The sequence below is a fragment of the Homo sapiens genome, chromosome 4 (genome assembly GCF_000001405.40).
Source record: "Homo sapiens chromosome 4, GRCh38.p14 Primary Assembly".
In the NCBI taxonomy this organism is placed as follows: domain Eukaryota; kingdom Metazoa; phylum Chordata; class Mammalia; order Primates; family Hominidae; genus Homo; species Homo sapiens.
Window position 1 is genome coordinate 73,251,125 of NC_000004.12, and position 27,400 is coordinate 73,278,524.

Genomic DNA, 27,400 nt, shown 5'->3' on the forward strand with positions numbered 1-27,400 from the left:
ACTCCTTTAAAAGATCATGTAATGTTTATGAGTTTCACAGGACAGAAGGCAGTCTAAGTTATGCTTTCAATAATTAGAGCTATATTATTTGAAGTTTCATAGCATGCTTGGGGAAAATAACAGTTAACATTTCCCTTTTCAATAACTGAAACCCCAAATTATAAATCATTATAAAAATGATACCTATATTGTCCCACAACTCTACATCCCTTCAGGAATGAATAATAATAATTTCTAAAGACAAAAAAATGTTAAGAAGTGAAGCACTGTTAAGTCAGAAAGGGTATTTTGCTTCTGGGTAAGAAGTGGATGGACATAACTGTACCAGATAGGTAAGATTCAAGGGACTAGAAGGGTATTCGTATTTACCCACCACCTTCAATTCCCTAATGACTTACTTTTTTTTTTTTTTGAAAAGATGAAAGCTGAAAAAAGTTAGGTTTGGTGTAGGTTACACCATGGATGTTGGTGCCTCCTACTGGTCCTAACAAAAATATAAGTGGTACCAGCAGGCACTACTTCGCATACCAATGTGAAGTAAAAATTCCCTTTCATCTGTGGTCAAGTATGGAAAAATTATGAAGGTCCTCATTAAATCCACATTTTTTAACCCATTAAATTATCCTTATAAAAATTCAGATAAACTACTGTCATAAATGCAACTGCACTGCCTCAAGGACCTAAAAACTGTTTTCCTAATCAACTAGATGGCATAATCAGGTAACAGCAGAAACAGATAGTCTAGTGAATTTCCGAGAGTCAAAATATGCTACTTTGATGCTTATTAAACACTGAAAACTTTCACAATACTAACTCCAGTTAAGTTGGTGAGGTTAAAAATGACTAAACTAAAAATAATGGTTCAATTAAAACATCCCACAGGGATCTACTGTAAATAATAGCTGCAACCAAGTTCTGTTACCTCAAGACTTGAAGTCCCAAAGATTTCCCACAGTAGGTGGCTAATAAAGAAATATTTATGAGTTATTCTTACTACAGAGATGGGACTTCATGAGAACCTAGCAGAGATACAAAGACTTACATAAGACACATGGTACTGTATAGCAGGAGATATACAGATGAGTAAGACAAGGCTTTTGCTTTCAGATATGACAGTCCACAGCACACAATGTAAACTGCTTCATTAATTAAAGGGCAAAACATGAAGATATAAGAGAAAAGAGAGTAGGCATAAGGCTGGTTTACCAGAAAGATGTGATCAATCTTGGACCCACTATTTCACAAATAAGCCTTCTTTGTTACCACATCATCTGCTTAGTTAGAAGCAGTTTCCAAACTCTTAATAATCCAAATAAATGACCAAATTCCCCACTAAATCTGTAGTGAGAATGTTTCAAAGTAACAAGGTAGGAGGGAGAGGGTGGGGGTCACAGAACTCTTTGAGGATCTAATGAAAATCCTGCACATATGGGGCTAGAGCAGAAAGGAAGAAAAATAAAGCCTTATAAGCACCTTCAACAAAATCTTTTGTTTAATATCAGAGGATTCACAGCCTAGCCAGACCCCAAGTTAACAATCTCTATTTAAAAGAAACATTTTTTTTTTCAAATTAATAAGGAGAGATTACCTTGAAAAGTAAATATTTTGAAAGGCAAGGAATAAGTGGTAAATCGCCTCTAGAAAGGGTGGTTTTTCAGTATGAAGTTTTCATCTTGTTAACAACTTAATTCTAGGTGGTGGGAATATGGATTATTTTTCTATACTTTTCTGTATTTCTTGCTTTCTTTTTCTTTAGTGAGTTTTTCAGAAGAACTGGAAAGAAAACTTGGGGTGACCAACTTGTCTTCAATGGCCGTCCAACTGCAAAAAAGCGTCTCCCCTTATACAAGCCGAATGTGCCAATATCTGAAATATGGTACTCAACACCATACAGCATAACAGAGCATGTGAATGAGTGAGAGAATAAATGAATGAATGAGGAGGCGTAGAATCTAACAGTCCCAGGTTCAATCCCATTCTGACATTTATTAGCTATGTGACCCTGATGAGGTTGCCTAAAATCCTTCTATGCCAGTATGTTTACCTGTAAAATGAATGCTCCCTGCCAACATTTGTATACTTTGAAACTCACACATTATTCAAGATGTACATTTAACCACTTAAGCTCACTCTCACACCTCCCCAAACTTATAATATTTATTCATTGGTGTATTTTTAAATCAAGGTGACTTACAAGTTTTGTTCACCATTGCTCACGCAGTACAGCACAATACCTAGCACATAGTAGGAACTCCAAACATTTATTGAATAATGAAAGAAATATAGCAGCACCTACTTCATAGGGTTATGGCAAGAATAAAATGAGAATACGAGAAAATTGTATTAACTCATTTAACTCTCATAACAATGTTATAAGGTAGAATCTACTATCATTACCATTTATACCATTTACATGAGGAAATTGCAGTAGAGATTTAAAAACTCGGCCAAGGTCACAATGCTAGTAAATGATGGATCAAGGATTTAAATCCAAGCTCCAAAATCCATACTTTTAACCTTTACCTAGACTTCACAAACAGTAGGTACTGAATAAGTATTCATTTTTATTTACTCTTTAAAAATTTTAGGAGGCTTAAGGTACTTACCAGGCATTCATCAATTCCTATTAGTTTAACTGGCTCTCCCCTTAATACTTAGAGAAGATCATCATCACTACGAAAAGGAATTAAGAAATTGGAAAATGTTGAAATCTGAACTTCAGCTATTCAGAAGCCCTGGATCCAAGAAGGGAAGAATTTCCATTCCTTCTCTTCTTTCCCTAAATGAATGCTGAATCCTCCCTAAGTACTAGTTATTCACTAAAAATGTTTTGTTTTTTTCTAGTACTGTGCTTAAGCAGGAGAGAAGACAAGATAAATTATAATTAAGACAGACTACTGCTTCAAAGATCTTAAAATCTAGTTTACAAATACTGCTACATCAATTAAGAGATGAAACAAGCAAGCTTCTCTGGGCTAATCTAGGATTCTAAGCATTACAAAAAAGGAATTTAGATAGCACTTTTCCAATAAAAAACAAACAAGAATATTTCCAAATGAAGCTGAACACAGCCTAATTCTGAAATATTTTTTCTTTCTCCCTCATTTTCAACTCTCTTTTTCTGTCTGTAAACAGATCCTCCCTGGCCTTGCAAATCCTTTCAATACTAAGTCAGTACTAATTTATTTACCGGCTCCCTTTGTCTAAAATTTCTTCACTAGGTTTATCTCTTGATTTAGTCACAGGTTACTTACAAAAACAGATGAAATTCTGATCAACTCCTACTGTATTTATACTTTAAGCATCTTCAACAAAAATGTTTCTCCCCCTTTGAATTCTGCCTTAGAAAATACTAAGATTGCAGTGCGCAGTGTGGCTCAGACCTGTAATCTCAGCACTCTGGGAGGCTGAGGCCAGTGGATCACCTGAGGTCAGGAGTTCAAGACTACCCTGGCCAACATGGTGAAACCCTGTCTCTAATAAAAATACAAAAATTAGCCAGGCCTGGTGGCGGATGCCTGTAATTCCAGCTACTCGGGAAGCTGAGGCAGGAAAATCATTTGAACCCGGGAGGTGGAAGTTGCAGTGAGCCGAGATCAGACTGTTGCACTCCAGCCTGGGCAACAAGAGCGAAACTCCGTCTCCAAAAAAAAAAAAAGAAAGAAAAAATACTAAGATCATTCAGTCATATTCAAAAATGCATTCAATAGAATGCAATGTTATTTCTAAAATAAAGTATCAACTCTTGAAATTATAAGATTTTTTTCTTGTAATAGTCAAAAGCAATTTAATTAATTTTGTCCACTAATTTGAAAGAGCATCATGGCTTTTATGTTAGAAAATATATTTGTATTTTCCATATTGGTCAGTCACTCACTGAAAACCAAGAAAATTATGCATTTTCAATTTTAAATGTAAGATTTTGTGTCAAATAGATGGGGAGAGGGAGGCAAGTAGCTCTTGGTCTTATTTGTTTCCAGGTATACCCGAAGTTATGCAAATTATCTAAGACGTGATTACCCTATTCTGAAATACTTTAAAGTAAAATCCTATTCTCAATAACCTACTCCAATGTCTAGAAATTATATTCTTATTGTTCAACAATTAAATGAAGCTCTTATTTGAATTGATTCTCGTTTCCTTCCATTTTTCCTCTTTTGGCAGATACAGAGATTATTCAGATAGCATTTCTTTATAGCAAAGCTATGTATTTTTGTTAAATTAAAGTTATCCTTTCAGGTTAAATACCACAAAACCATAACCTTTCACATTCCTTTTTAATCTTTTGATGATTTTTACTGGAAGGATAATTTTAAAGATCATTTTATCTACTTTTTTTTATTGTGTAGCCTATAACAGAATGAATTAGAGAAAAGACAACACTGTGATTTTAGCCACAAGACTTCCTAGCTCCAGAAAGTTAGGCTTCTGCTGACATGTCAGTAAAATGGTAATTAAGAGAAAAACATTACACAACTCACCCATTTAGCTTACAGTTTTATTTGTCTTTACTTTGATCAAAAGATGAAGATGGGGCAGAGACAATCTGTACTCCTTTTTGTCTGCTCATCCCTCATCTGTATAGATTTTTTAAATGGGTACACTTTTTTTTTTTTGAGACAGAGTCTCGTTCTTGTTGCCCAGGCTGGACTGCAATGGTGCAATCTCAGCTCACTGCAACCTCCACCTCCCGGGTTCAAGCAATTCTCCTGCCTCAGCCTCCCAAGTAGCTGAGATTACAGGCATCTGCCACCACACTCGGCTAATTTTTTTGTATTTTTAGTAGAGATGGGGTTTCACCATGTTGGCCAGGCTGGTCTCAAACTCCTGACCTCAGGTGATCCGCCCGCCTCGGTCTCCCAAAGTGCTGGGATTACAGGCGTGAGCTACCACGCCCGGCCAATGGGCACACTTTCTTACACGTATTTCTCCTGACTCATCTTCATAAATGACAAACCCATTGTTTAACACCATGTAAAAGACAGGATAAGGTATGTTAAAAACATAGAAATACTACCATAGTTGGTGAAAGTCAACATAACCATTCCTATATTACAAAAGGAAAACAAACCTGACCCACAAAATAAACATACCTACAAACTTACAGCCATTCTTCATGATTTAAGGAATTACTAAAAGTTCTGCTTATTAGGCCGCATTCCAATGGACAAAACTACCTAGGTATGTTAAGTTTGCAGCAGAATATCCCAGTAAGTACTGCATTCAACTATCATAACCTTGCTCTAAACCAGAGCTTAATAGTTTCACGAGAATTTAAAATTTTAAGTAATGGTATTTTGCCTATAGCTGCATGATTGTGTTACCTTGCTATTCAGTAACTATTTTTCTGAATGATATCAGGAGGGTGATAAAAGGAAATAAATTATTATTAAAAAGTGTACAGGTCTGAGACATTAGAAAACTTTGATTTGTACTTTTGCTACTACCCACCACAACCACTTTCCTCTAAACCTTGTTTTCCTCCTTTTTAAAATAAAGGGCTGAATTACCTGTAAAATGTTTCTCACCTTTGAGAAGAATCATACAATTGAATGATTCTAAGTACCATAACAAATTTTATTAGGGATAAGGACCCCATTACATCTTTCTCTTCCTTGTTTCAAATGCCGCCAGAGCAACACACTATCCTAAACATCCAAGTAGGCCAATATAAGTCTATCAATACAAACCTATTCTCAGAATCCAACAGGCTAAAAGGGAATAAAAACAAGGACTGGCATATTTTTGTCATACATACTTCAGCACTTAATATCTCTACCTATACAACTTCATCCAGTCTGAGATAAAAGAGAATCTGGTCTTCTACAAATAGACATGTGTCAAATCCTTTAAAAGGTACTTCTCTATTTCAACAGAGACCAGGATTCAATAATTCCAATTTTCGGAAAACCAGACTTGCATCAAAATAAGTTCCATGTTTGTGGAAGAGAATAAATAGTAAGTGGTACTTTTAGATGAATCACTTGGTCTCCTCTTAGAACTAAGTTTAAAATCAGCCTTTAAAGCTGTTTTCCCTCTGCTGATAAAGATTTCCCTCTCCAAATAAAGATTTTTCTAGATTCTATTTCAGGAAGGAGACAAGAGAGTGGTAAAACAGCTAATAACTAGTAAAGCTAACTCTCAGTTGGTTGTCAGTATGGTATGTTTTACTGAGCCTTTGGGTTGTAAGGGCTTCTGTGAGGAATAAGGTCCTGCAACGCCGCCTGTCTGTGGACCCAGGAAAAATTATAAAGTTATTATGAAACCAGATCACTAGGACAAACCGAGAGGCCTTCCTATTCCAACTCACCACAACCAGGCCTGGCTCCAAAGCCTACCCTTTGGCTGTCCCATATTACGGGACAACAGGTCCTAGCTTAATTCTAACTCACTAAGGAAACATTCGAAGGCATGTATGTATGTACGTGTAAGGATCAAATATATTTTTCATCCACTTACAAATGTATATGGTCATTTGTAATTATTTAAAGTTACTGATAAATTTATACAAATACAGCATCAGTTCATCGAAAATCCCTGGGAGATCGAGGAAATGAAGTTACTTCAGCAGCCAGGATAGTTACGAAAAACCCTGCAGAACAGTATGGAAAAGTACAGCTTCTCACGTGTCCCTCACATACACAAACACTTAGCTCTGAGTCCATTACAACCTTACGTCCCCCCTCAAACTGCTCCCCTCCACCTCACAACTGGGAGAAGTTGATCAACCTCCTAGTTGGTCCCCAAGAGACTCATTTACCCATTATTTTACTCCTCCCGCTTTGATCCCGATCCCGCCTCAGACTAAGGTGGCCCTACTGGCCCCAGGCAGACCACCCCCCCACCCCCCGGCGTGCAAACAGGGAATCTAACCAATTCCCTCCATCCTTAACCAAGTGAGCCATCCCATGATAACAGGCTGTTCACCAACTCTGTGAACTCCGTGGTCCTCCCACCCCCACGTGTCAGCTACCCTCCCCCACATTCCCACACCTCACGATTTAGGCCGAGGGAAGAAAGGGGGCAGTCGAAAGCCTGGCCCCTAAGAGATCAACCCACTGGAATCTGTCCCACTCCAAATCCCCTCCCACCTTCGGCCCCTATCCCTTACAGTCCCTTCCTCCCTCCTTCCTTTGAAACCAGGCCCTTGCCTCAGAAACCTCCTCTTCCTCGTCGTCGTCGTCCTCTTCTTCCTCGCTGTTGTTACTGCTGGTGCCGCCGCCGCCACCTCCGCCTCCACCGCCGCCTCCACCGCCGCCGCTGTTGTCGCTGTCGCTGCTGCTTTCGCTGCTGCTGGGGGGTCGGCAAGTCCGGTTACGCTTGGCCTTGTGGTGCTGCTGCTGCGGCGGCTTCTTCTTCAGGAGCAGGTCGCAGACTCGCACCATCCCACGAGGAGACGAGGCCGAGCGAGCTCTGCTGCTGCCGCCAACGCCGCCGCCGACCTCCGCCGCCGCGGGGGGGCCCGCCACAGCCGCCACCGCCGGGGGGCTCCCTTCTCCTTCTGCAGCCGTCGCCGCCGCCACCGGAACCGTCGCCTTCTCCATCCCCAGGGAAAGAGGGAGGGCGCGGACGGGGGAGGGGCGTGGGGCTACGCTCTACCGCGACTTCGGCCGCACTGGGGCCGACACAGCAATCGGTGCCGCCTCCGCCGCCACCGCCTCGGTCACCTCTACTGCCGCCGCCGCCGCCGCCGCTCCGCCAGCTCTCACCTCGTCTCGCGATACTAAGGGCGGGGAGCCTGACGATGGGAGGGAGGGAGGGAGGGAGAGGGAGGGAGCAAGGGAAGGAGGGTGAGGCGTAACAGGGAGACCGGGTGTCGGGAGAACCAGAGGAGAGGAGACTGGAAAGAAGCGGGGAAGTGTGCCTGGGGCAGCTTCCGAAGGGGAACGGCGGGGACAGATGAGGGGGGCGCGATTGCAACCAGAGCGCCCGCGAGCTCCCGGATTTCTTCTCTTTCCTCGCTATTTCCCGCACACACAGCCCTGCAGCCCTCCCTTCTTCCTTCCTGGCTTGTGATTAGAACGCAGCCGCAGGCGGAAGTGCAGTGACGCCATCAGCCGTCGCCTGAGCCGTGGCGCGCGGGTGGCCGAAAGGCGAAAGTGAGATTTCAAGGGCCGGGTCTGGGGCCCCGCGGGCGCGCAGTGCTGCGGCGTGTGGGGAGTACGGGGAGGCTGGAGAGGAGCCGGCCCCGGGCAGTGTGAGGTGCGGAAGCGCGGTCCAGACACTTTGCTGACGGGAGGCCGGTCCGCCAGATCCGGGAGGTGGGGCCTCGTTCTGGACTGCTGTACGTAGTTTTATTCCTGGTCATTTTTTTCCACCGCCAAATCGAGAGATAGAGCTTTGGATCATGAGAGATGGCGTCGTGTTGGGAAAAGAGCCTTCTTTACCTGAGTTTAAGCTCGGCTCATAGACATCCTCTACCTGAGTTTACACGTGTGTAATATGAAGGCAGTCGATTAGGAGATGTCTAAGATCATTACTTACACCTCAAGTTTCCAAGGGGAGGAAGACACGGGAAGGATGCGTGGTCTGTGCCAGACTTTGTAGACGATTCACTGAATGACCCTGATTTAGCTCTTCCGGCCCTCTTCGATTCAGCTTGGAAGCAAGCATAAATAGTGATTGTTGTCTGTATACTTCTCTCGGAAGGAATGCTGTTATGGGAGTTGTGGGTTCATTTTTAGGTGTCTGAAGAAGTTTCAGGACTTTTGAAATGATAGTGGAGCCCATTGAACTCAGAATTATCCCTTTCTGGTCTAGTAGGAGTATAGTGGCATACGGAAAATGAAGCAAACATCAAAGACAGATGTACTGGCACAAGATTAAAAGTATGTCTCAGCTGACATAGTTGCCATTTTAAGACTGCTTAGTTTAGCTGAATATGCCTGGATTTTTTTTTTTTTTAGCATTTTTTTTCTTTTTAGCATTGGCATACCATATGAAATGTGGGCAGTTGCCAGTACTCTACAGAGTACCAAGGCAGAATTGGCAATGACTAAATCAATTCATTCAAACAAAAATTCATCATGTGCCTACTGTGCGCATAATTTGTGGAATCAAAGTCTCTTGTTTCCAGGGGCTTTACAGTGTAATAAGTGCTATAGTAAATATATATACGGAGTGGTAACCATCTGCCTATTCCTCTCCTACAGTCGTTGCTGAGTTCCAGTGTAGAACAGAGCACTGCATTGTGTATCTCACCACTACTGATTTAGATTTTATAATTTCAGCTGCATCCCTCCCTCCTACTTTGTATATTCTTCAGCATCTTTTTCTCCCTTTCCACTTGAATACTTTTCGCAATCTTTAAATCCCAGCCCATTTTATTATATGACTTTTAACTTAGACTTCACAATTTTCCAAGTGCTAGAAATTTCCTGAGATTGCCTTTTCTCCAGTATCAACGAATGAGAGACTCCCTGTTCATATATGAGATAAACTCTTCATACATATTCTAGTTCCAATACCCCTCTTTCTCATGCATTTATTATCTTTTCTGTTGTCAACCTTCTACAAATTCTGGTTCCTTAGCTAATTCTTCTGTAGCTTTCAATTATTTCCTTCACAAGCAAACTTTCTTTCTTTAAAAAGTATTCTATACTCAGGAGGCTGAAGCAGGAGAATCGCTTGAACCTGCGAGGCGGAGTTTGCAGTGAGCTGAGATCCTGCTACTGCACTCTAGCTTGGGCGACAGAGCGAGACTCCATCTCAAAAAAAAAGTGTCTACAATCAGTGTCTTTTTTGTTTTCTGAAATTGACTTGTCAGCCCTCTGCAGTCTAGTCTCTGTGTCTATCGTGCTGTGCTACCAAAAATGCTCTCTTTAAAGTAATCTCATTGTTTGGAAGAAAATGAGTTTTTTGTTCTTTAATATAATAGTGAAATGATGATCCTGTTTCACTAGTAGGATAAGGTTCAAAACTATTAAAATGGACAAGGCATGTAAAGTCACTTTCTTTTATTTTTATCTTTTTTTCCCCCCGTTAGAACCTCTGGCAGGGACTGACTAGCCCATGAAACTTATTTCTTCTTCCCGGGCACACAGCTAAACTAAATTTCACAGCTTTCCTTGTAGTTGGTTATAGTCATGTGATGAACTTCTTTTTTTGAGACAGAGTTTAGCTCTTGTTGCTCAGGCTGGAATGCAATGGCACAATCTCAGCTCACCGCAACCTCCGCCTCCCGTGTTCAAGCGATTCTCCTGCCTCAGCCTCCCAAGTAGCTGGGATTACAGGCATGTGCCATCACACCCGGCTAATTTTGTATTTTTAGTAGAGACACGGTTTCTCCATGTTGGTCAGGCTGGTCTCGAACTCCCGACCTCAGGTGATTCCCCCACCTCGGCTTTCAAAGTGCTGGGATTACGGGCGTGAGCCACCGAGCCTGGCCGTGATTAACTTCTAGCCAATTAAATATGAATGGAAATGATGTGCTCATTTTTAGGGTTAATGAAGTCCTCCTATTCTCCCTTACTCTTTCTTCGTCAACTTGATGCCTTTGAGCATGGTGACCTTCAAAACTATGTATTGGAGATGCCAAAGCCAGAAAAGAGAAGAATGAGTGGCTGAAACAGTACTTGGAAGACAGCCACCCCAATTAGAAACACCCCTTTTTGCACTTACTGTAAGAGAAAAAATTGAGATTTGAGAATTTATATGTATAGGAGCTAGAATGACCATAGCTAGTCCAGAAATTGGTACAAGAAGTGGAGTACTGCTAAAACAATAACCTAAAATATGTTACATCAGCTTATTTATGATGCAGCAGGTGGTAGAGAATGTGATTTGGAGGCTAGAAAAAGGAGGCCCATGTTTGCAGTGGCAAAGTAATTAGTAAAACTGTCACCTGAAATAATTCAAAATCAGATCACCTATCTGTTTAGATTAGCTCCAGAGGAAATGATTGAAAAGAGCAAAAGTAATACTGTGTTGAATTTTACATTTTACTTTTAGTAAGGTTTTACTAAAGAGAGAAACTCAGGAAATACTTCACAGAAGTGAGAGTGTACAGGAATATTTCTCAGGAAGGGTTGGAAAAGTTGACTTTTATAAGACTTCTAATAAAAAAAAAAAAAAAACTAGAAGAGGTCTTGAGTATAGTTACCCTTGAGATTAAGTCCTGCAACAAAGATCAGGAAAAGGGTTTGGTCTTTCCATTCAAAGTCATTATTTTAGATGGCTTCAAGATAGCTACGATAAAGGTCTAAAGGAACTGGCATAGGAGCAAGGCAGCAAAGCAGTAAATTAGGCTTGATAATTATGTAAGAAAGAACTTTGGGTGTAGTTACCAGAAGCAAATCAATCAGAAGACTACATTTTTAGAGGAATTTTATTAATCATACTAAATCTGGCTCAAATATCATTGTTCGGGTGTTAAAACAGAGGGTAACTGTCCAACCCCAAGCTTGCATAAGTAGAAAAATAGAGCATAAAACCTTAACAGCTCCCCAGTACCCACACAGGATGTGGCCATGGAGAATGATGGACAAAAAAAGAACATTTCAGAAGCTCGTATAAGGAGCTGTACTAAAGACTGGACAGGGAGTTTCTCCTGAAGACTAGAATTGGAGTTTCATCAGAACTTTCTTCAGTTTCAAGGAGATGGGCCGCAAAATGTTTATGCAGTATTTCATCATTATTATACATGAATAGTATTGCTCAGTATCACATTTTTTTTCTGAATGAGAGAATGTATTATAGTTATCTGTCCCTGAGTTACCACTATATATTGGGTTTGCAGGGATGGGGGTGACAATAAAGATAATTTGTCTTTTTAGTTCTTAGGTCACATCTGTACCTAATGAAGAGAACTGCACATTTTCTGAAAATCCTAGACTTTGAGCCTGTTCCAGTAACTGGTTAAAACTTTAGATTGTCTCCTTTGGGACAGGGTATGTTCTGTGTGTGGAAAGACAGGTAAAATACATGTTTAGTGATCAGAATAGTAGATTCTTGCAAATGCTAAATTCTTCTGGCCACACAGCTATATTTCCATGCCTCTCTTGCAATTAGGTATATGGGTTAGGTGTGCTGATTAGGTTCTAACCAGTGGAATGTGAGAAGTGATGCACTCCTATTCCAGCTCTGGCCTATGGAAACATCACATGAGCAATCCAATATATCCCACTCCCCATCAACTTGAGGCAGATGAGCAAATTTGCACTGGAAACTATGTGTTAAAGATGGCAAAGCCGCAAGATAGGACTCCTGGTTTCCTGAATCTTCACTTGGAGGATACTTGCTTCCCAATTAGAGACACTTGTGCTAGAGTTTCCTGACTCTTCACTGGGAGGATACTTGCTTGCCAATTAGGGACACTTGTGCTACAGCTCATACGCATTCTTTTGTGTTAGGCCACTGAGATTTCAGAGCGTGCCCTAATAAAGACCTGTCCCTCTTTCTCCAGATGCAATCGTTCATTACCTAATTCTAATTTTTATACCACAGGAGTAGGCCCACAAATCAGGCTAGCCAAAGTATCCTATCATTCAGCCATAGTGATTAGTTCAGGAATGGGCAGATTAACAAAACTGAAGTTAATCAGAGATAGTCTTATCATTTGGGCTAGCACTATCAAGAAAAAGACACCTGCTTCTGGAATAAGCAAAAAAAAAAAAAAAAAAAAACACAAGCTACATCTGGCCTTTGGTCATCATGTCGAGTGAACCTGCCTAAGAATGAAATCTTACAGGGAAACAGAGGCAGTCTCAATGATACTGCAGAAGGGGAAGATATCCCATGAATTGAGAAATATTTCCTGGGTTTCTACTCGATTGAAATTCCAAGAGGTAAGGGATAGATACTGCCAGGAAGACTTGGGAATTCAAAAGAGGAGCTCTCTGAGACTAGAGTCACATCCTGACACGGCTCTTCTCCAATGTGCTGGAGTCCTCAGCATCTGCTGGTCTTGATTCACTGATGGGGGCAACCAGTGTCCCCTTAAGTGTCCGGGCAGAAACATACTGTACCTTGGTTTTAGAAAGTAGGTTGGCAGGCATCTTTCCTCATTCCCATCAAGGAGTTGGTACCTTCCACAGTGTAAGTTATTTTCTCTGTTCTAGAGCTACTACAAAGTGCTAGGGAAGGAAAATCTCCTAAAGCAGTCTGTCATCATGAAGGCCAAATTATGTAGCAGAAGAGCTTGGAAAAAGATTAAGACGGTGGTGGGGAGGACCTTTGTCCTGGTGGCTTGAAGCCATAGGGAAAGAGGTTCACTAAATGCCAACAAATGCTAAAAAATAAAAAAATAGACAAAACAGCGAGCCAGTGGCTTGTGCTCTGCTTTCCACCTGAAAGTTTGCCCAACATAAGCAATTATAATCAAGTAGAAATTGAAGCATATGTTTAAGCAGAGAGGACCAGGTAACATTGATAACCACTGTCCTCCCAGCCACTGCCTTAATTAGGCTTTCATGAGTTTTCACCCACATTATTGCAATAGTCAATCTCCCTGCCTCTGATCCTATTATACTCTACTTTATCCTCCACATTGACACCTGAGTTACTTCTCTACCTTGTAAAAACAATTTATTTCTGAGTACAAAAACACTACATGTTCATTGTAAAATACTAAGAAAATACAAAAAAGCACACATACCAGAACATGCAATTCTATCATCTAGAGATATCCACTGTTGACATTTTAGTACAAACCTTTACACAGTTGTTTTCTCTGTGTATTTTTAAATGAGAATGCCACTGTTGTATTTAGCATGCTTTTTAAAATTTTTTATTTATTTTTATTTTTCAATCCACCAGTAAGATATCCCGGAGCATGCTTTTTTTTTTTTTTAAACTTAGTATATGTGAGCATTTTCTCATGGAATTAAATGCCCTCTACAATATTATATATAATTAATATATCAATTTACTTAAGACAGGTGTTGCAAACTGGCAGCCTATAGCCAAATGTGATATATGAACATGCTATATACTTTGTCATTACAGCATTTCAGAGTTGTTTGACTTTTGAATGCCTTTATACAATGCATGCTGTCTTCAATTCTCTACAGTTTCCATAAATTCCTATTATGCCCAGTCCTTATTCACTCATGTCACCTATCTTTTTTTGTTGTTGTTACTGTTTCGGTGTGGGCTTTTAAGAAATTTTTGACATTTGAGTTGAAAACAGCAATTTAGCCAGAATAAGCATGGATGTTCATTCACTTAGTATTTGTTGCCTACCTGCTACATACCAGGCACTGGGTTAGGTGAGAAAATGGTTAGCAAAACAAACACGGTTCTTTCTATCTTGAAGCTTATGGTCTAGCATGAGAGACACACAAATGAAATAACTGCTGCAAGGGAAACCTGAGCTAGAAACTTTTGTTTTGTTTTGGGGCTTCCCTGAGGAAGTAATATGTGAACAGAGATCTATAGTAGGAAATAGGCCAAAAAGCAGAGAAGAATCTTCCTAGCCAAAGGAATGTATATGCAAAAGGCCTAAAAAAGGAGGTATCAAACTGTGCCAAAAGAGCTGAAACACTGAAAGTGAGAATGTTTGCAAGATGAGGCTGGAGAAGTAAGTGGAAGACAGATGATTCAGGGCCTGTGGACCATGCTAAGGGTTTTGAGATACATGTTGATAAAGAATCTACCCTAGTCTTCTTTTCCTTAGGGAAACATCCTTCTCTTTTTAATCACTCCTTATATGGCATGATTTCGAAATCCCCTTCACCCTCTTACTACCCTTCTCTAGCATTAATAATTTTCTTAGTCCACTGCTCTGGAACCAGAGCCCAGTAAAAATTAGTTAAGCTGAAGGCTGGGGATGGCAGTCTAGCACAAATAGTAATTAACTACTGGGCACATTAGTAGAACAGAGCTGCTACCTAAATAAATCCATTTAAAGTCAACTAAATGTTATTTGGGTAATATGTCCCTCATGTTAAATTTGCCCAAATATATATCTCACCTCTTAAAATTCGTTTAGTTTGAAATTAAAATTAGTATTGTTTTTCTGCATGTACTCCTAGGTTGGGTAAAGAAGGGAACAAGGGAATGGGGAAACGTAGAGATTCCTGGATAACAGAGAAAGACAGCTTGAGAATAAAAGTATGCAAAAGATAATCTACAACAAAATAATGCACTTAACTCTTGTTACTAAACAAATAAGCTACCCACATTTTAGTTTTCTGTTTTGTTTTATGTTTGTCAGTTTAGCAATTTTTGTCACTGTTTGGAAGACTTAGAGTGGTTATTGCATAGAACAACTCCTTACACAGAGATTTGCAAGTTTCTGAATTTTGTACTTTCAAATTGAAAATCAGGAGAAACATTTTCAAGGTTCATATTCAGACCAAGTTAGTATATTAACAACTAATAACAATATTAAAAGTTAGAACAATTCCTTTCCTCTATCTTTCTCAGGACAAATCGAGTTTATTAGAAAACTAGGGAGTGATCTGGTGAAACTGGAAAGAATCCAAGGAGTTCCAGGGAAATCTTTCATTCATTCATTTGTAGATTATTCCACAAATGTTTATTAAGTATCTATGGTATTTATACAGCACCTACAGTACTATTTAGGGCACTGGGTATAGCTTACAAACTGCTTAACTCTGAATATCTTTTGTGCAAGGAATAAGTAGTATAATAGTCCCTTGAAATACAGGAATTCACCTAGAGATCTTCTCAGATCCTCAGATGTGCACGTTTTATATCATGTAACTTAATCCAGAAAATAAAGCATAAGCAAACTGATATTTTTACACAGCAATGAATTTTGAAAGCAGGCAGAGCTTCTAGTCTCATATAAGGGGCTTAGAACTTGCCACTGCATCCTAATAACAAGTAAAAAGCTGAACAAACAAAAATCAACAACTCTTCTTAACTTCATCAGAAATGAGGACACAGGGAAAACTGCTGCCCTCAAAATTGGAGAGACAGATAGGAAGATACAGGAAATCATAACCAGAGCAGAAACCTCTGGGAACCAGTGCTGGGGTAGGAAAACCTGAACTGTAATTGATGAAATGCTGAAGGCTCACTGTGGACAAGCCTGAGAGTCAAAAACTCCAGGGAAACCCAGTCATAGAGGAGCCCTCATACCTTTGTGAACTATACTTCCAGTAGGACTAGTATAGCATACTCACAAAGTGAACTCAGTTACGATGCCAGTTGCAGGTTGGGAAGTACTGGCCTACAGGAATCAGAGTCCATTTCTCCTAGTAAACAGAATACGTAGGTCCAAGAACAATGTAGGTGCAGTGTATGTACCTATTACTATTAGACCTAATGCCCAGGTTGACTATATAATTGACTACATGATTTATTGTCCAAATGGAGATACCTTTAAGAATAAAATGAAGCATCAATCAAATATACATAATGTTTAATAATATGTATGAGTTGACAAATTGGTTTTATTATATTGGTGAACCTATAAGATAGTTCTGTTTAAAAAATATTTTCAAGGGTGGGCACAGCAGCGCATGCCTGTAATCCCAGCAATCTGGGAGGCCAATGCGGGTGGATCACTTGAGGCCAGAAGTTGAGACTGGCCTGGCTAACATGGTGGAACCCAATCTCTACCAAAAATACAAAAATTAGCCGGGTGTCATGGTGCACACCTGTATTCCCAGCTGCTTGGGAGGCTGAGGCAGGAAAATCACTTGAACCTGGGAGGCGGAGGTTGCAGTGAGCCTAGATCACACCACTGCATTCCAGCCTGGATGACAGAACAAGACTCTGTCTCAAAAATTAATTAATTAATTAATTAAATAAAATATTTTCAAAAATAAATCTGGGTACACTAGAGAAAATTGAAAACAAACTGCTTAATACTGATTATCAATACATTAAAAAGTTACAACCATAATAAATTCTGTACATATTCATGTATTTTAATCATTGTCTTAACTGTATCTGTCTCATGTCATGTTACAGGTATATTTTACTTCTGAAGAATATATTTTTATATGATTATAATTTTTAATAAAAGTATCTCTAAACTTCCACATTTCATTTTACAGCTAATGAATTTAAAATTGCTGATGCCCTCAACTGACTCTTCTCAGTTACCTCAGTATTTTAATTTTGGAACATACTCTCTCTACAGGTTAATATAGGTATCTGGTAAACTCAGAGCAAATTATACCAAATGGAGTATATTCCCAATTCTGATTTTATCTTATTAAATATTTAAATATTTCAGCTCAAATGTTTTCAGTTATTGTCTTTTTTGCCTCCACTTAGAGGATCTTTGACAAATATTTTTATAAGACAAAGCTCATTAAGTTATCTCTGTTTTATGATTCCTTAAATGTTATATCAAATGTATGTATGTATATATGTATGTATTTGAGACAGAGTCTTGCTGTGTCACCCAGGCTGGAGTGCAGTGGCACGGTCTCAGCTCACTGCAACCTCCCCCTCCCAGGATGAAGCGATTCTCGTGCCTCAGCCTCCTGAGTAGCTGGCATTACAGGCATGCACTACCACATCCAGTACATTTTTATATTTTTAGTAGAGATGGGTTTTCACCACATTGGCCAGGCTGGTCTCAAACTCCTGGCCTTAAGTGATCCGCCTGCCTTGGCCTCCCAAAATGCTGAGATTACAGGTGTGAGCTACCACGCCTGGCCTTTTATGAAATTTATATAAATTTGATAATGAATAATAATAGGCATTTTTTTTACATTCTGGTACTGAATATAAATTTATCCAAGTAAAAATAGAAGCTCCACAAAAGAATCTTCTCAGAAGTCAACAGTATTTATTTCCTGTTGCTGTTGCAATAAATTGCATGATAGTGGCTTAAAACAACACAAATTTATAATCTTACAGTTCTGGAGGTCAGAAGTCTGAAATGGATTCCACTGGCTTAAATCAAGGTGTTGACAGGATTGCACTCCTTATCTAGACTCCAGGGCTGATTCTTTTTACTTTTTCTGGATCCTGGATGTTACCAGCATTCCTTGGCTGATGGCATCTGCCTCCATCTTACAGCGCATCACTGCAATCTCTGCTTCCATCATAACTTTGTCTCTGACTCTTCCGCCTTCCTCTTCCATCTTTTAAAGCCCCTTGTGATGACATTAGGTCTGCCTGCATAATGCAGGATAACTTTCCCATCTCAAGAGTCTTGTCTTAATCATATCTGCAAAGTCTCTTTGCCATGTATGGTCACATATTCATCCCGAGATTAGATTGTGACCAGGCATGCAGCCGGGCGAGGTGGCTCACGCCTGTAATCCCAGCACTTTGGGAGGCCGAGGCGGGCCGATCGCGAGGTCAGGAGATCGAGACCATGGTGAAACCCCGTCCCTACTGAAAATACAAAAAAAATTAGCCGGGCGCGGTGGCGGGCGCCTGTAGTCCCAGCTACTCGGAGAGGCTGAGGCAGGAGAATGGCGTGAACCCAGGAGGCAGAGCTTGCAGTGAGCCGAGATCGCGGCACTGCACTCCAGCCTGGGCGACAGAGCGAGACTCTGTCTCAAAAAAAAAAAAAAAAAGATTGCGACCAGGCATGCTTTCATATGATTGCTGGGTCACATGATAGATACATGTTTACCTTTTTAAAAGTGGGCAAAATATTTGAATAGACAATTCACTAAGTAAGCTATATGGCTGGAAAATAAACATATGAAATGATGCTCTACTATATACAGAAATATAATTAACTTTATATATCGATCTGGTATCTTGGAACCTTGCTAAACTCCTGTATTAGTTCTAGTAACTTATTTATGCACTCCATAGGATTTTCTTCACAGAAATCATGCCGTCTGTGAATGAAGGGAGTTATACTTCTTATTTTCCAAATGGAGATTTTATTTTTCTTGCATGACTTCACTGGCTAGAACCACTACTACAATGCTGATTAGAAGTGGTAAGATCGATATCCTTTCCTTGTTCCTGATCGTAAGTGTGATGTTAACTGTAGATTTTTCACATATACTGTTTATCAATATAAGGAAGTTCTCTTCTGTTCTCTGTTTTCTGACAGTTTTTGTCAGGCATGTATTTTGTATTTTCAAATACTGTTTCTGTATTTGTTGAGATAATCATAGGATTTTTCTTTCTTGTTTTTACAATGAGTTACACTGATTAACTTTTGAATATCAAACCAACCTTGTATTTTTGAGATAAACCCCACTTGGTCATGATGTATTATCCTTTTTGTATATTATTGTATTAGCTCTGCTAAAATTTTGCTGACAATTTTTTTTTTTTTTTTTTTTTTTTTTTTTTTTGATCCGGGGTCTGGCTCTGTCCCAGGCTGTGGAGTGCAGTGGCGCGATCTCGGCACACTGCAAGCTCCGCCTCCCAGGTTCACGCCATTCTCCTGCCTCAGCCTCCCGAGTAGCTGGGACTACAGGCACCTGCCACCACTCTCGGCTAATCTTTTTGTATTTTTAGTAGAGACGGGGTTTCACCATGTTCACCAGGATGGTTTCAATCTCCTGACCTCGTGATCTGCCCGCCTTGGCCTCCCAAAGTTTGCTAAGAATTTTTACATGTATTTTTATGACACATACTGGTCTGTAGTTGTCTTTTCTTGTAATGTCATTGTCTGGTTTTGGTATCAAGTAATGCTGCCCTCACAGAATGAATTAGAAAATATTCCCTTATCAATTTTCTGGAAGAGTTTTTGTAGAATTGGTGTTATTTTCTGCTTAAATGTTTGATAGAATTTACCAATGAAGCCATATGGACCCAGTGTTTTCTTTGTGGGAAGGTTTGTAAGTACAAATTCAATTTCTTTAATAGATGTAGAGTTATTTATGTTATCTATTTGTTCTTGAATGCGTTTTGGTAGTTTGTATCTTTCAAATAATTTGTCCATTTTATGTTCCTTATCTCTGGTAATATTATTTGCTCTGAAATCTATTTTGTCTGCTTTCTTTTGATTAGTATTAGGATGGTATATTTTTTTCTTCCCTTAATTTTTAAGCTGTATGTTAAGCATGGTTGAATCTTGCATTTTTATCCAATCTTAATAATCTCTGGTTTTTAAATGAGAGAGTTTAGACTATTTACATCTAATTTAATTATTGATAATTTTGGTTCTATTTGTATTCTGTTTGTTCCATCTTTTCTTCTTCCCCCTTTCCTTTTTTGCCTTCTTTTAGAAAAACTGTGTAATATTTATTCCATTTTATCACCCTTGTTGGCTTACTAGTTATAATTCTTTTTAATTCACAATAACGATATATAAAGTTTTATTAGCTATAATTCTTTATAATTCACAGTAATAGGACATAAAGTTTAAGTTATTGATTTAGGGTTTATATTATACATATTTGTTATGTTCTACCTTCAAGTGGTATTACATTACTTAACATATACCGCAAGAACCTTAAAATAGTACAATTCTATTTTCCCCTCCTGACCTTTGTACTATTTTGCCTTACATTTTACTTCTATATATTTTATAAACCACATAGTACAGTGGTCCCCAACCTTTTTGGCATCAAGGACCAGTTTTGTGGAAGGCAGTTTTTCCACAGACCATTGTGGGGTGGACGGTTTTGAGATGAAACTGTTCCATCTCAGATCGTCAAGCATTAGATTCTCATAAGGAGTGCACAACCTGGATCCCTTGCATGTGCAGTTCACAATACCATTTGTGCTCCTATGAGAATCTGATGCCTGCTGCTCCTGATCTGACAGGAGGCAGAGTTCAGGCAGTAATGCTCGATTGCCCACCACTCACCTCCAGTACTGATCTGCAGCCTGGGTGTTGGGGGACCCCTGCCATAGTACATTATCATTATATTTGTTGTTTCTTTCAAGAGTCAGTTATCTTTTAAAGACATTTAAATAATAAAAATGTATTTATATTTGTTCATGTTGTTACCATTTCTGATGCTCTCCATTCTTTTATTTAGGTTTTCATTTGGTATTATTTTCCTTTTGCTTGAAGGAAAAGCAAAAGAAAAAAATACCAAATTTTCCTTTACTATTTCTTACAGTGCTGGTCTGCTTGTGATGAATTATTTCAGCTTCTTTTAATATCTGAAAATATCCTTATTTCATCTTTGTTTTTGAAAGATATTTCCACTGGGTAAAAAATTCTAGATTGATAAGTTTTTTTTTTTCTTTCAGTACTTTCAGGATATTGCTTTACTCTCTTCTAGTTTGCATTGCTTCTGATAAGAAATCTCTCATCTTTACCTTTGGCCCTCTTTATATCATGTATATTTTTCCTTTGGTTGATTTAATCACTGTTTCTTTATCACTGGTTCTAGGAAATTTTGCTTTTAAGCTGCGCTAGAAAAGACCAAAAAGCATTTAGTCTAGGATTAAATCTTTTTTTTTTTTTTTTTGAGACAGAGTCTTGCTCTGTCTTGCCCAGGCTGAAGAGCAGTGGCATGATCTCAGCTCACTGCAGCCTTCACCTCCTGGGTTCTAGTGATCCTCCTGTCTCTGCCTCCTGAGTAGCTGGGACTACAAGTGTGTGCCATCACACCTAGCTAATTTTGTGTTTTTAGTAGAGACGGAGTTTCACCGTATTGGCCAGGCTGGTCTTGAACTCCTGACTTCAGGTGAGCCACCCACCTTGGCCTCACAAAGTGCTGGGATTACAGGCGTGAATCACCGTGCCCAACCTCTAGGATTAAATCTTACCCACCACTGAGGGAAGATTCTTCTTAGAATCCTAAAAAAAAAAATGTCTGATGTCTTCTAAATTATGTGGTTTTCCAATCTGGCTGTTGGGAACAGGCACTATCCCTGTCCATATATGAGCTACAAATACTCTTTCCTCTAATCCCTGTGTGTGATTCTTTCCCCAGTTCTGGGTAGTTTCTTCACATGCATGTTCTGATCAATACTCAACTGAACATCCAAGGACATTCCCTTCAGATCTCTAGAGTTCTCATCTGTATAGTTCCCCCTTTCCAGAATCTGCCCTGCCAACTCTAGCCTCTTCAACTTCCTCAGACTGTCAGCTCAGGGTTTTGACTCAGGGTTTCCCCTCCTTACATTGCATCCAGGAAACTTCTTCCAGTAAGTTGGGGCTATGGTATAACTTATCTCATTTGTTCCCATATGACAGGATGACTGTTTTTCATTGCCTGATAACCAATGTCTTGAAAGCCATTGCTTTATAAATTTTGTCTAGTTTTCTAGTTGTTTCAGATGGAAGGATAAATTCAGTTCCAGTTTTTCATTATGACCAGAAACAAATGTCCAAAGGGACTTAAAAAAAAAAATACACAAATCTTTTCATATTATGCTCCTCTCAAAACCTGTCAATGGTTTATCACTGTTCTCAGGATAAAGTCCATAATCCTTACCAAGGCTTCAGAACTCGTCGCCCCTTGCTCCTCTTGTCCCATGCTCTCCCTTATTAATTCTGTTTCAGCAACACAAACTTTTCAGTTGCTCAAACTCAGCAGACACTTCTACCTGTCCCTCCTCTCAAGAATTCACCTCATATTTTGTGCTCCCCCGACTTTTTTTTTTTTTTGAGAACTTAGATCCTATTAAGAAAGATAGATAATTCGACATGTTGTTTGTTGTTGTTGTTGTTGTTGTTGTTGTTGTTGTTTTTGAGACGGAGTCTCACCCTGTCGCCCAGGCGGGAGTGCAGTGGTGCGATCTCGGCTCACTGCAAGCTCCGCCTCCCGGGTTCACGCCATTCTCCTGCCTTAGCCTCTGGAGTAGTTGGGACTACAGGCGCCCATCACCACACCCAGCTAATTTTTTTGTATTTTTAGTAAAGACGGGGTTTCACCGTGTTAGCCAGGATGGTCTTGATCTCCTGACCTCGTGATTCGCCCGCCTCGGCCTCCCAAAGTGCTGAGATTACAGGCGTGAGGCACCGCGCCCGGCCATGTGCTCCCCTATTCACAGAGGTGTCCTATACCTGTTCTTCAGAGTTTATCTTGAATGTCATTTTCTCAGGGAAACCGTCCTTGGCTTCCTCAATAAGTCATGTTTGTTATGATTGTCCCCATAGGCTTGGAAATCAACACTAATTTTAAGGAGATACTCTGTAATATAACAGGGTGTTATGTTAAATAATTCGAGGGTCTTTCTTTCCCATTGTAAATTTCTATGATATAGTACGTACTCTTCAAAAAACATCATTTTGTAAAATATCTTACTTATTAAGACTATTGTATTTTAATAAATTACATTATAAATGTATTGAATGGGATCTAGTAGCATTTAAATTCTCAGAAAGACTTCTTTAAATAAAGTTAAGTATTGCCATACACACAGTACCTCACCTACAATTATTTTCAAATTCAGTATATTGATTAGGTAGTCAGTAGTATAAAGACTAGAGAAGTAATACAGAGTCAATCCATTCCTCAAGAAACATAAGATTTATTTAGTGAGATAAAACTTGCATACAGAAAACAAGATATTGGCCATTTTTTAAAAGATAACAGAATGCATTTTAAAGTGTTTATTCCTTAAGTCCTGCACTTGCAATTCTGAGAGTAGGAAGGATTAGGAAACGTTGGGTAGTTACACCAGCCACTCAAGTTTAAGTTAGAGAAGGGACCCCAGAGATAGAGGTATCTAATTAGGTAGGTTAGTTTATTATCTAGAGCAGCTAGAAGTAAAAGGAAGGAAAGGATAAGTACAAAGAATTGCCCACAGGACAAAAAAAAAAAAAAAGGATGAAACTTAATCTGTTGTCAGATGTAAGGAATGAATGTTACGTAAAAAGCCAGAGGACAAATCAGAAGTCATGAGTTGTGTCAACACAAGAATGCAGTGGGAGAAAGAAGCAAGATGGGCAATAAGGCTGGAGAATGTAGCACTCTAGATATGAGGAGGGGTGAATTACCTGAAGCTCGCTGTTATTGTCTGTGAGTCACATGGTGAATATGTGAGGGGGCTCAAGTTAAAGGGTAACTGGTTAGGGAAGATTTTCCCTCTGGCCCCACACAATTACTCAGGCTTCCCCTGGAAGCTATCACTTCTCTTTGGTAGGAGGTTCTCTTCCAGCTCTGTGCCTTAAATTAACCGAACATGGCCATGGTTCCAGAAATTTGCCTGCCCTGATCTGTTCACTATGATGATTATGTACATGATTCCCTGGTTCCAGATCTGCACTCACTCCATAGTCCATCTGGCTTCTGACTCTGGCTCCATTCCCATTTTATAGTTCTGCTCCTGTCCTTCGTACTAGACTTTAGTATTTGGTTTCCTATTTCTGACTCTTGGCCTGCTGCCACAAAAAAAAAAAAAAAAAAAAAAAAAAAAAAAAAAAAACTGTACTAATTATCATTTCTACTTCAAACTACTTCACTTTCATTATTCTGTAGGCACCCAAGCCCCATTTTTGGTCATGGACCAGTGCCTTAATAAAAAACACTGGACTTTACACAGGGATTCACATCAGTGGTTGTTCATATGGTTTTCTTCTACAAATACTGTCCCTACCAGCTGAAGTGCCAAGGCTAGCTACAATAATGGCAAAGTCCAGATCATTCCCTGTTGTGTATTTTGGCTTCTTGTCTCTCGCAGTTGGAGTGAGTTGCAAAGATATTGGGTTACAAGTGGAGTTCTAAGGCCATTTGCACAGGGACCAGTTAAAATGAATTTGGGATGCATGAATGGTAAACCTGGAAGTGGAAGGCCTCCACCCCTACTTTATGGTTCAGGAGACTTGTTTATATATAGGTGAGAAAGTAGTGATGAGTGGGACATATCTATTGTGAGAAAAGCCACAGAGTCTGCTCTCTGTATTGTCTCTCTTAGTAATTAAGACTGTCAGCTTAAACTTTCATTTATTTAACACTTATTGAGCACCTACCATGTATGCATTAGGTGCTAGGCTAGAACTTTGGGATATAATGATGAGCAAAAACAGGCATGGCCTCCACTGTTACTGAGCTTACAAGCTAAGTGGGGCAAAGATGTTATACATTAATCTAAAAATTATTTAATGAAAATTATTGCTAAATACAATATAATAATATAACTGGTTATATAACCAAGTCTAAATATAATAACATAACTATAATTAATAGAAAATTATAACTATGTTAGTGCTATAAGGAAGAAGTGCATAGTACTATTAAACAGTGTAATAGTGCTTTCCTGGGATATTATGGTCAAACTGAGAACTTAAGAGAGAGTAGGAGTTAACTAGCTGAAGAAAGGATGAAGTATAGCTATGCAAGTACCTGAGGTTAAAGAAAAATCGTGGTTTCAGAGTTGAAAGAAGTCTATTGTTTCCATTGTGTTAGAGAGTTATGAAAGGCATGTTGCCAGATGAGTTTAAGAAGTAGAAGTGGGTAAAGACTAATCATAGAGGGTCATTAGAAGAAGAATTTCTGGGTTTTTTTTTTTGTTTTTTTTTTTTGAGGAGTCTCACTCTGTCGCCCAGCCTGGAGTGCAGTGGCACGATCTCGGCTCACTGCAAGCTCCGCCTCCCGGGTTCATGCCATTCTCCTGCCTCAGCCTCCCGAGTAGCTGGGACTACAGGCGTGCGCCACTACACCCAGCTAATTTTTGTATTTTTAAAATTTTTTATTTTATTTTATTTTTTTGAGACGGAATCTTGCTCTGTCAGGCTCGAGTGCAGCCCAGCCTGGAGTGCCCTGGCGTGATCTCGACTCACTGCGAACTCTGCCTCCCGGGTTCATGCCATTCTCCTGCCTCAGCCTCCGGAGTAGCTGGGACTACAGGTGCCTGCCACCATGCCCGACTAATTTTTTGTGTTTTTAGTAGAGACGGGGTTTCACCGTGTTAGCCAGGATGGTCTCGATCTCCTGACCTCATGATCTGCCCGTCTCGGCCTCCCAAAGTGCTAGGATTACAGGCGTGAGCCACTGCGCCTGGCCAATTTTTGTATTTTTAGTAGAGATGAGGTTTCACCATGTTGGTTGGCCAGGATGGTCTCAATCTCTTGACCTTGTGATCCACCCTCCTCGGCCTCCCGAAGTGCTGGGATTATAGGCATGAGCCACCTCAGTGCCCGGCCGAATTTCTGTCCTTTTAAATCTTTTTATTTCAACTTTTATTTTAGGTTCAATGGATACATATGCAGCCTTGTCACATGGGCATACTGTGTGATGCTGAGGTTTGAAGTATGATTAATCCGTCACCCAGGTAGTGAGCATAATGCCCAATAGGTAGTGTCTCAACCCTTGTCCCTCTCCCTGCCTCCCATCTCTAGTAATCTCCAGTGTCTATTGTTGCCATCTTTATGTCCATGTGTACTCAGTGTTTAGCTCCCACGTATAAGTGAGAACATGAGATGTTTGGTTTTCTGTTTCTGCATTAATTTACTTAGGACAACAGCCTCCAGCTGCATCTGTGTTGCTGCAAGGGACATGATTTTCTTCTTTTCCAGGCTGCATAGTATTCCATGTTGTATATGTACCACATTTTCTTTATTCAATCCACCATTGATGGATACCTAGCTTGATACCATGCCTTTGCTATTGTCAATAGTGCTGTGACTAACATATGCATGCATGTGTCTTTTTGGTAGAATGATTTATTTTCCTTTGAGTATATACTCAATGATAGGACTGCAGGGTCAAAAGGTAGTTCTATTTTTAGTTCTTTGAGAAATCTCCAAACTGCTTTCCACAGTGGCTGAACTAATTTACATTCCCACCAACAGTTGTATGTGTTTCCTTTACTCTTCAGCCTCTCCAGCATCTGTTATTGTTTGACTTTTTAATAATAGCCATTCTGACTGGTGTGAGATGGTATCTCACTGTGTTTTTTAATATTGTTATTATTATTATTTGAGACAGGGTCTCACTCTATCACCCAGGCTGGAATGCAGTGGTGCAATCTTGGCTCACTGCAATGTCCACCTCCCAGGTTCAAGTGATTCTCATGCCTCAGCCTCCGAGTAGTAGCTGGGATTACAGGCGTGTGCCACCATGCTTGGCTAATTTTTGTATTTTAGGTAGAGACAGGGTTTTGCCGTGTTGGCCGGGCTGATCTTGAACTCCTGGCCTTAAGAGATCTACCTGCTTTGGCCTCCCAAAGTGCTGCGATTACAGGCGTGAGCCACTGCGCCTGTCCTCATTGTGGTTTTGATTTGCATTTCTCTAATGATTAATGATGCTGAGTATTTTTTCGTATGTCTGTTGGCCTCTTGTATGCCTTCTTTTGAGAAGTGTCTGTTCATATCTGTTGCCCACTTTTTAATGGGGATATTTGGTTTTTTTTGCTTGTTGAATTCTTTAAGTTTCTTCTAAATTCTGCACATTAGACCCTGTCCGATGTATAGTTTGTGAATATTTTCTCCCATTCTGAAGGTTGTCTGTTTACTCTGTTGATAGTTTCTTACCCTGTGCAGAAGCTCTAGAGTTTAAGTAGGTCCCATGTGTGAATTTTTGTTTTTGTTGCAATTACTTTTGAGGACTTAGTCAGAAATTCTTTGCCAAAGCTGATGTCCAGAAAAATATTTCCTAAGTTTTTGTCTAGGATTTTTATAGTTTTAGGTCTTACATTGAAGTATTTAATC

The 27,400-nt window shown here is 39.7% G+C and overlaps 1 protein-coding gene, 1 long non-coding RNA gene and 1 other non-coding gene across 16 annotated transcripts in view, besides 4 other annotated features; 2 read left to right on the top strand and 1 right to left on the bottom strand.

The window, feature by feature from the left end:
• ANKRD17 (ankyrin repeat domain 17) overlaps positions 1–7,674 on the bottom strand; it is a 185,423-nt gene extending 177,749 nt beyond the window's left edge. For all 13 annotated transcript variants that reach the window (XM_005265671.5, NM_198889.3, NM_015574.2 and 10 more), the window contains exon 1: positions 7,152–7,674. In XM_005265671.5, coding sequence (XP_005265728.1) covers positions 7,152–7,544 — 393 coding nt within the window. In that variant the 5' untranslated portion in view covers positions 7,545–7,674. The remainder of the gene's footprint in view (positions 1–7,151) is intronic.
• Positions 4,826–5,326: an enhancer, noted in NCBI's record as "H3K4me1 hESC enhancer chr4:74121667-74122167 (GRCh37/hg19 assembly coordinates)". NCBI's record gives its function as "activates a minimal SCP1, AML or CMV promoter by ChIP-STARR-seq in primed H9 embryonic stem cells {active_cell/tissue: H9 hESC(primed)}" and the evidence as "EXISTENCE:reporter gene assay evidence [ECO:0000049][PMID:30033119]".
• Positions 7,366–7,765: a silencer, noted in NCBI's record as "silent region_15476". NCBI's record gives its function as "represses an Ori minimal core promoter by ATAC-STARR-seq in GM12878 lymphoblastoid cells {active_cell/tissue: GM12878}" and the evidence as "EXISTENCE:reporter gene assay evidence [ECO:0000049][PMID:35858748]".
• Positions 7,727–8,323: an enhancer, noted in NCBI's record as "NANOG-H3K27ac-H3K4me1 hESC enhancer chr4:74124568-74125164 (GRCh37/hg19 assembly coordinates)". NCBI's record gives its function as "activates a minimal SCP1, AML or CMV promoter by ChIP-STARR-seq in primed H9 embryonic stem cells {active_cell/tissue: H9 hESC(primed)}" and the evidence as "EXISTENCE:reporter gene assay evidence [ECO:0000049][PMID:30033119]".
• Positions 7,926–8,195: an enhancer, noted in NCBI's record as "active region_21610". NCBI's record gives its function as "activates an Ori minimal core promoter by ATAC-STARR-seq in GM12878 lymphoblastoid cells {active_cell/tissue: GM12878}" and the evidence as "EXISTENCE:reporter gene assay evidence [ECO:0000049][PMID:35858748]".
• The window catches only part of ANKRD17-DT (ANKRD17 divergent transcript), a 99,858-nt gene continuing 80,499 nt past the window's right edge, over positions 8,042–27,400 (top strand). For both annotated transcript variants that reach the window (NR_187399.1, NR_187400.1), the window contains exon 1: positions 8,042–8,284. This is a non-coding gene — a long non-coding RNA (ANKRD17 divergent transcript). The remainder of the gene's footprint in view (positions 8,285–27,400) is intronic.
• Positions 12,836–12,960, top strand: LOC124900180 (small nucleolar RNA SNORA3/SNORA45 family). Its single transcript, XR_007058528.1, has one exon. It is a non-coding gene; the product is annotated as a small nucleolar RNA SNORA3/SNORA45 family (small nucleolar RNA).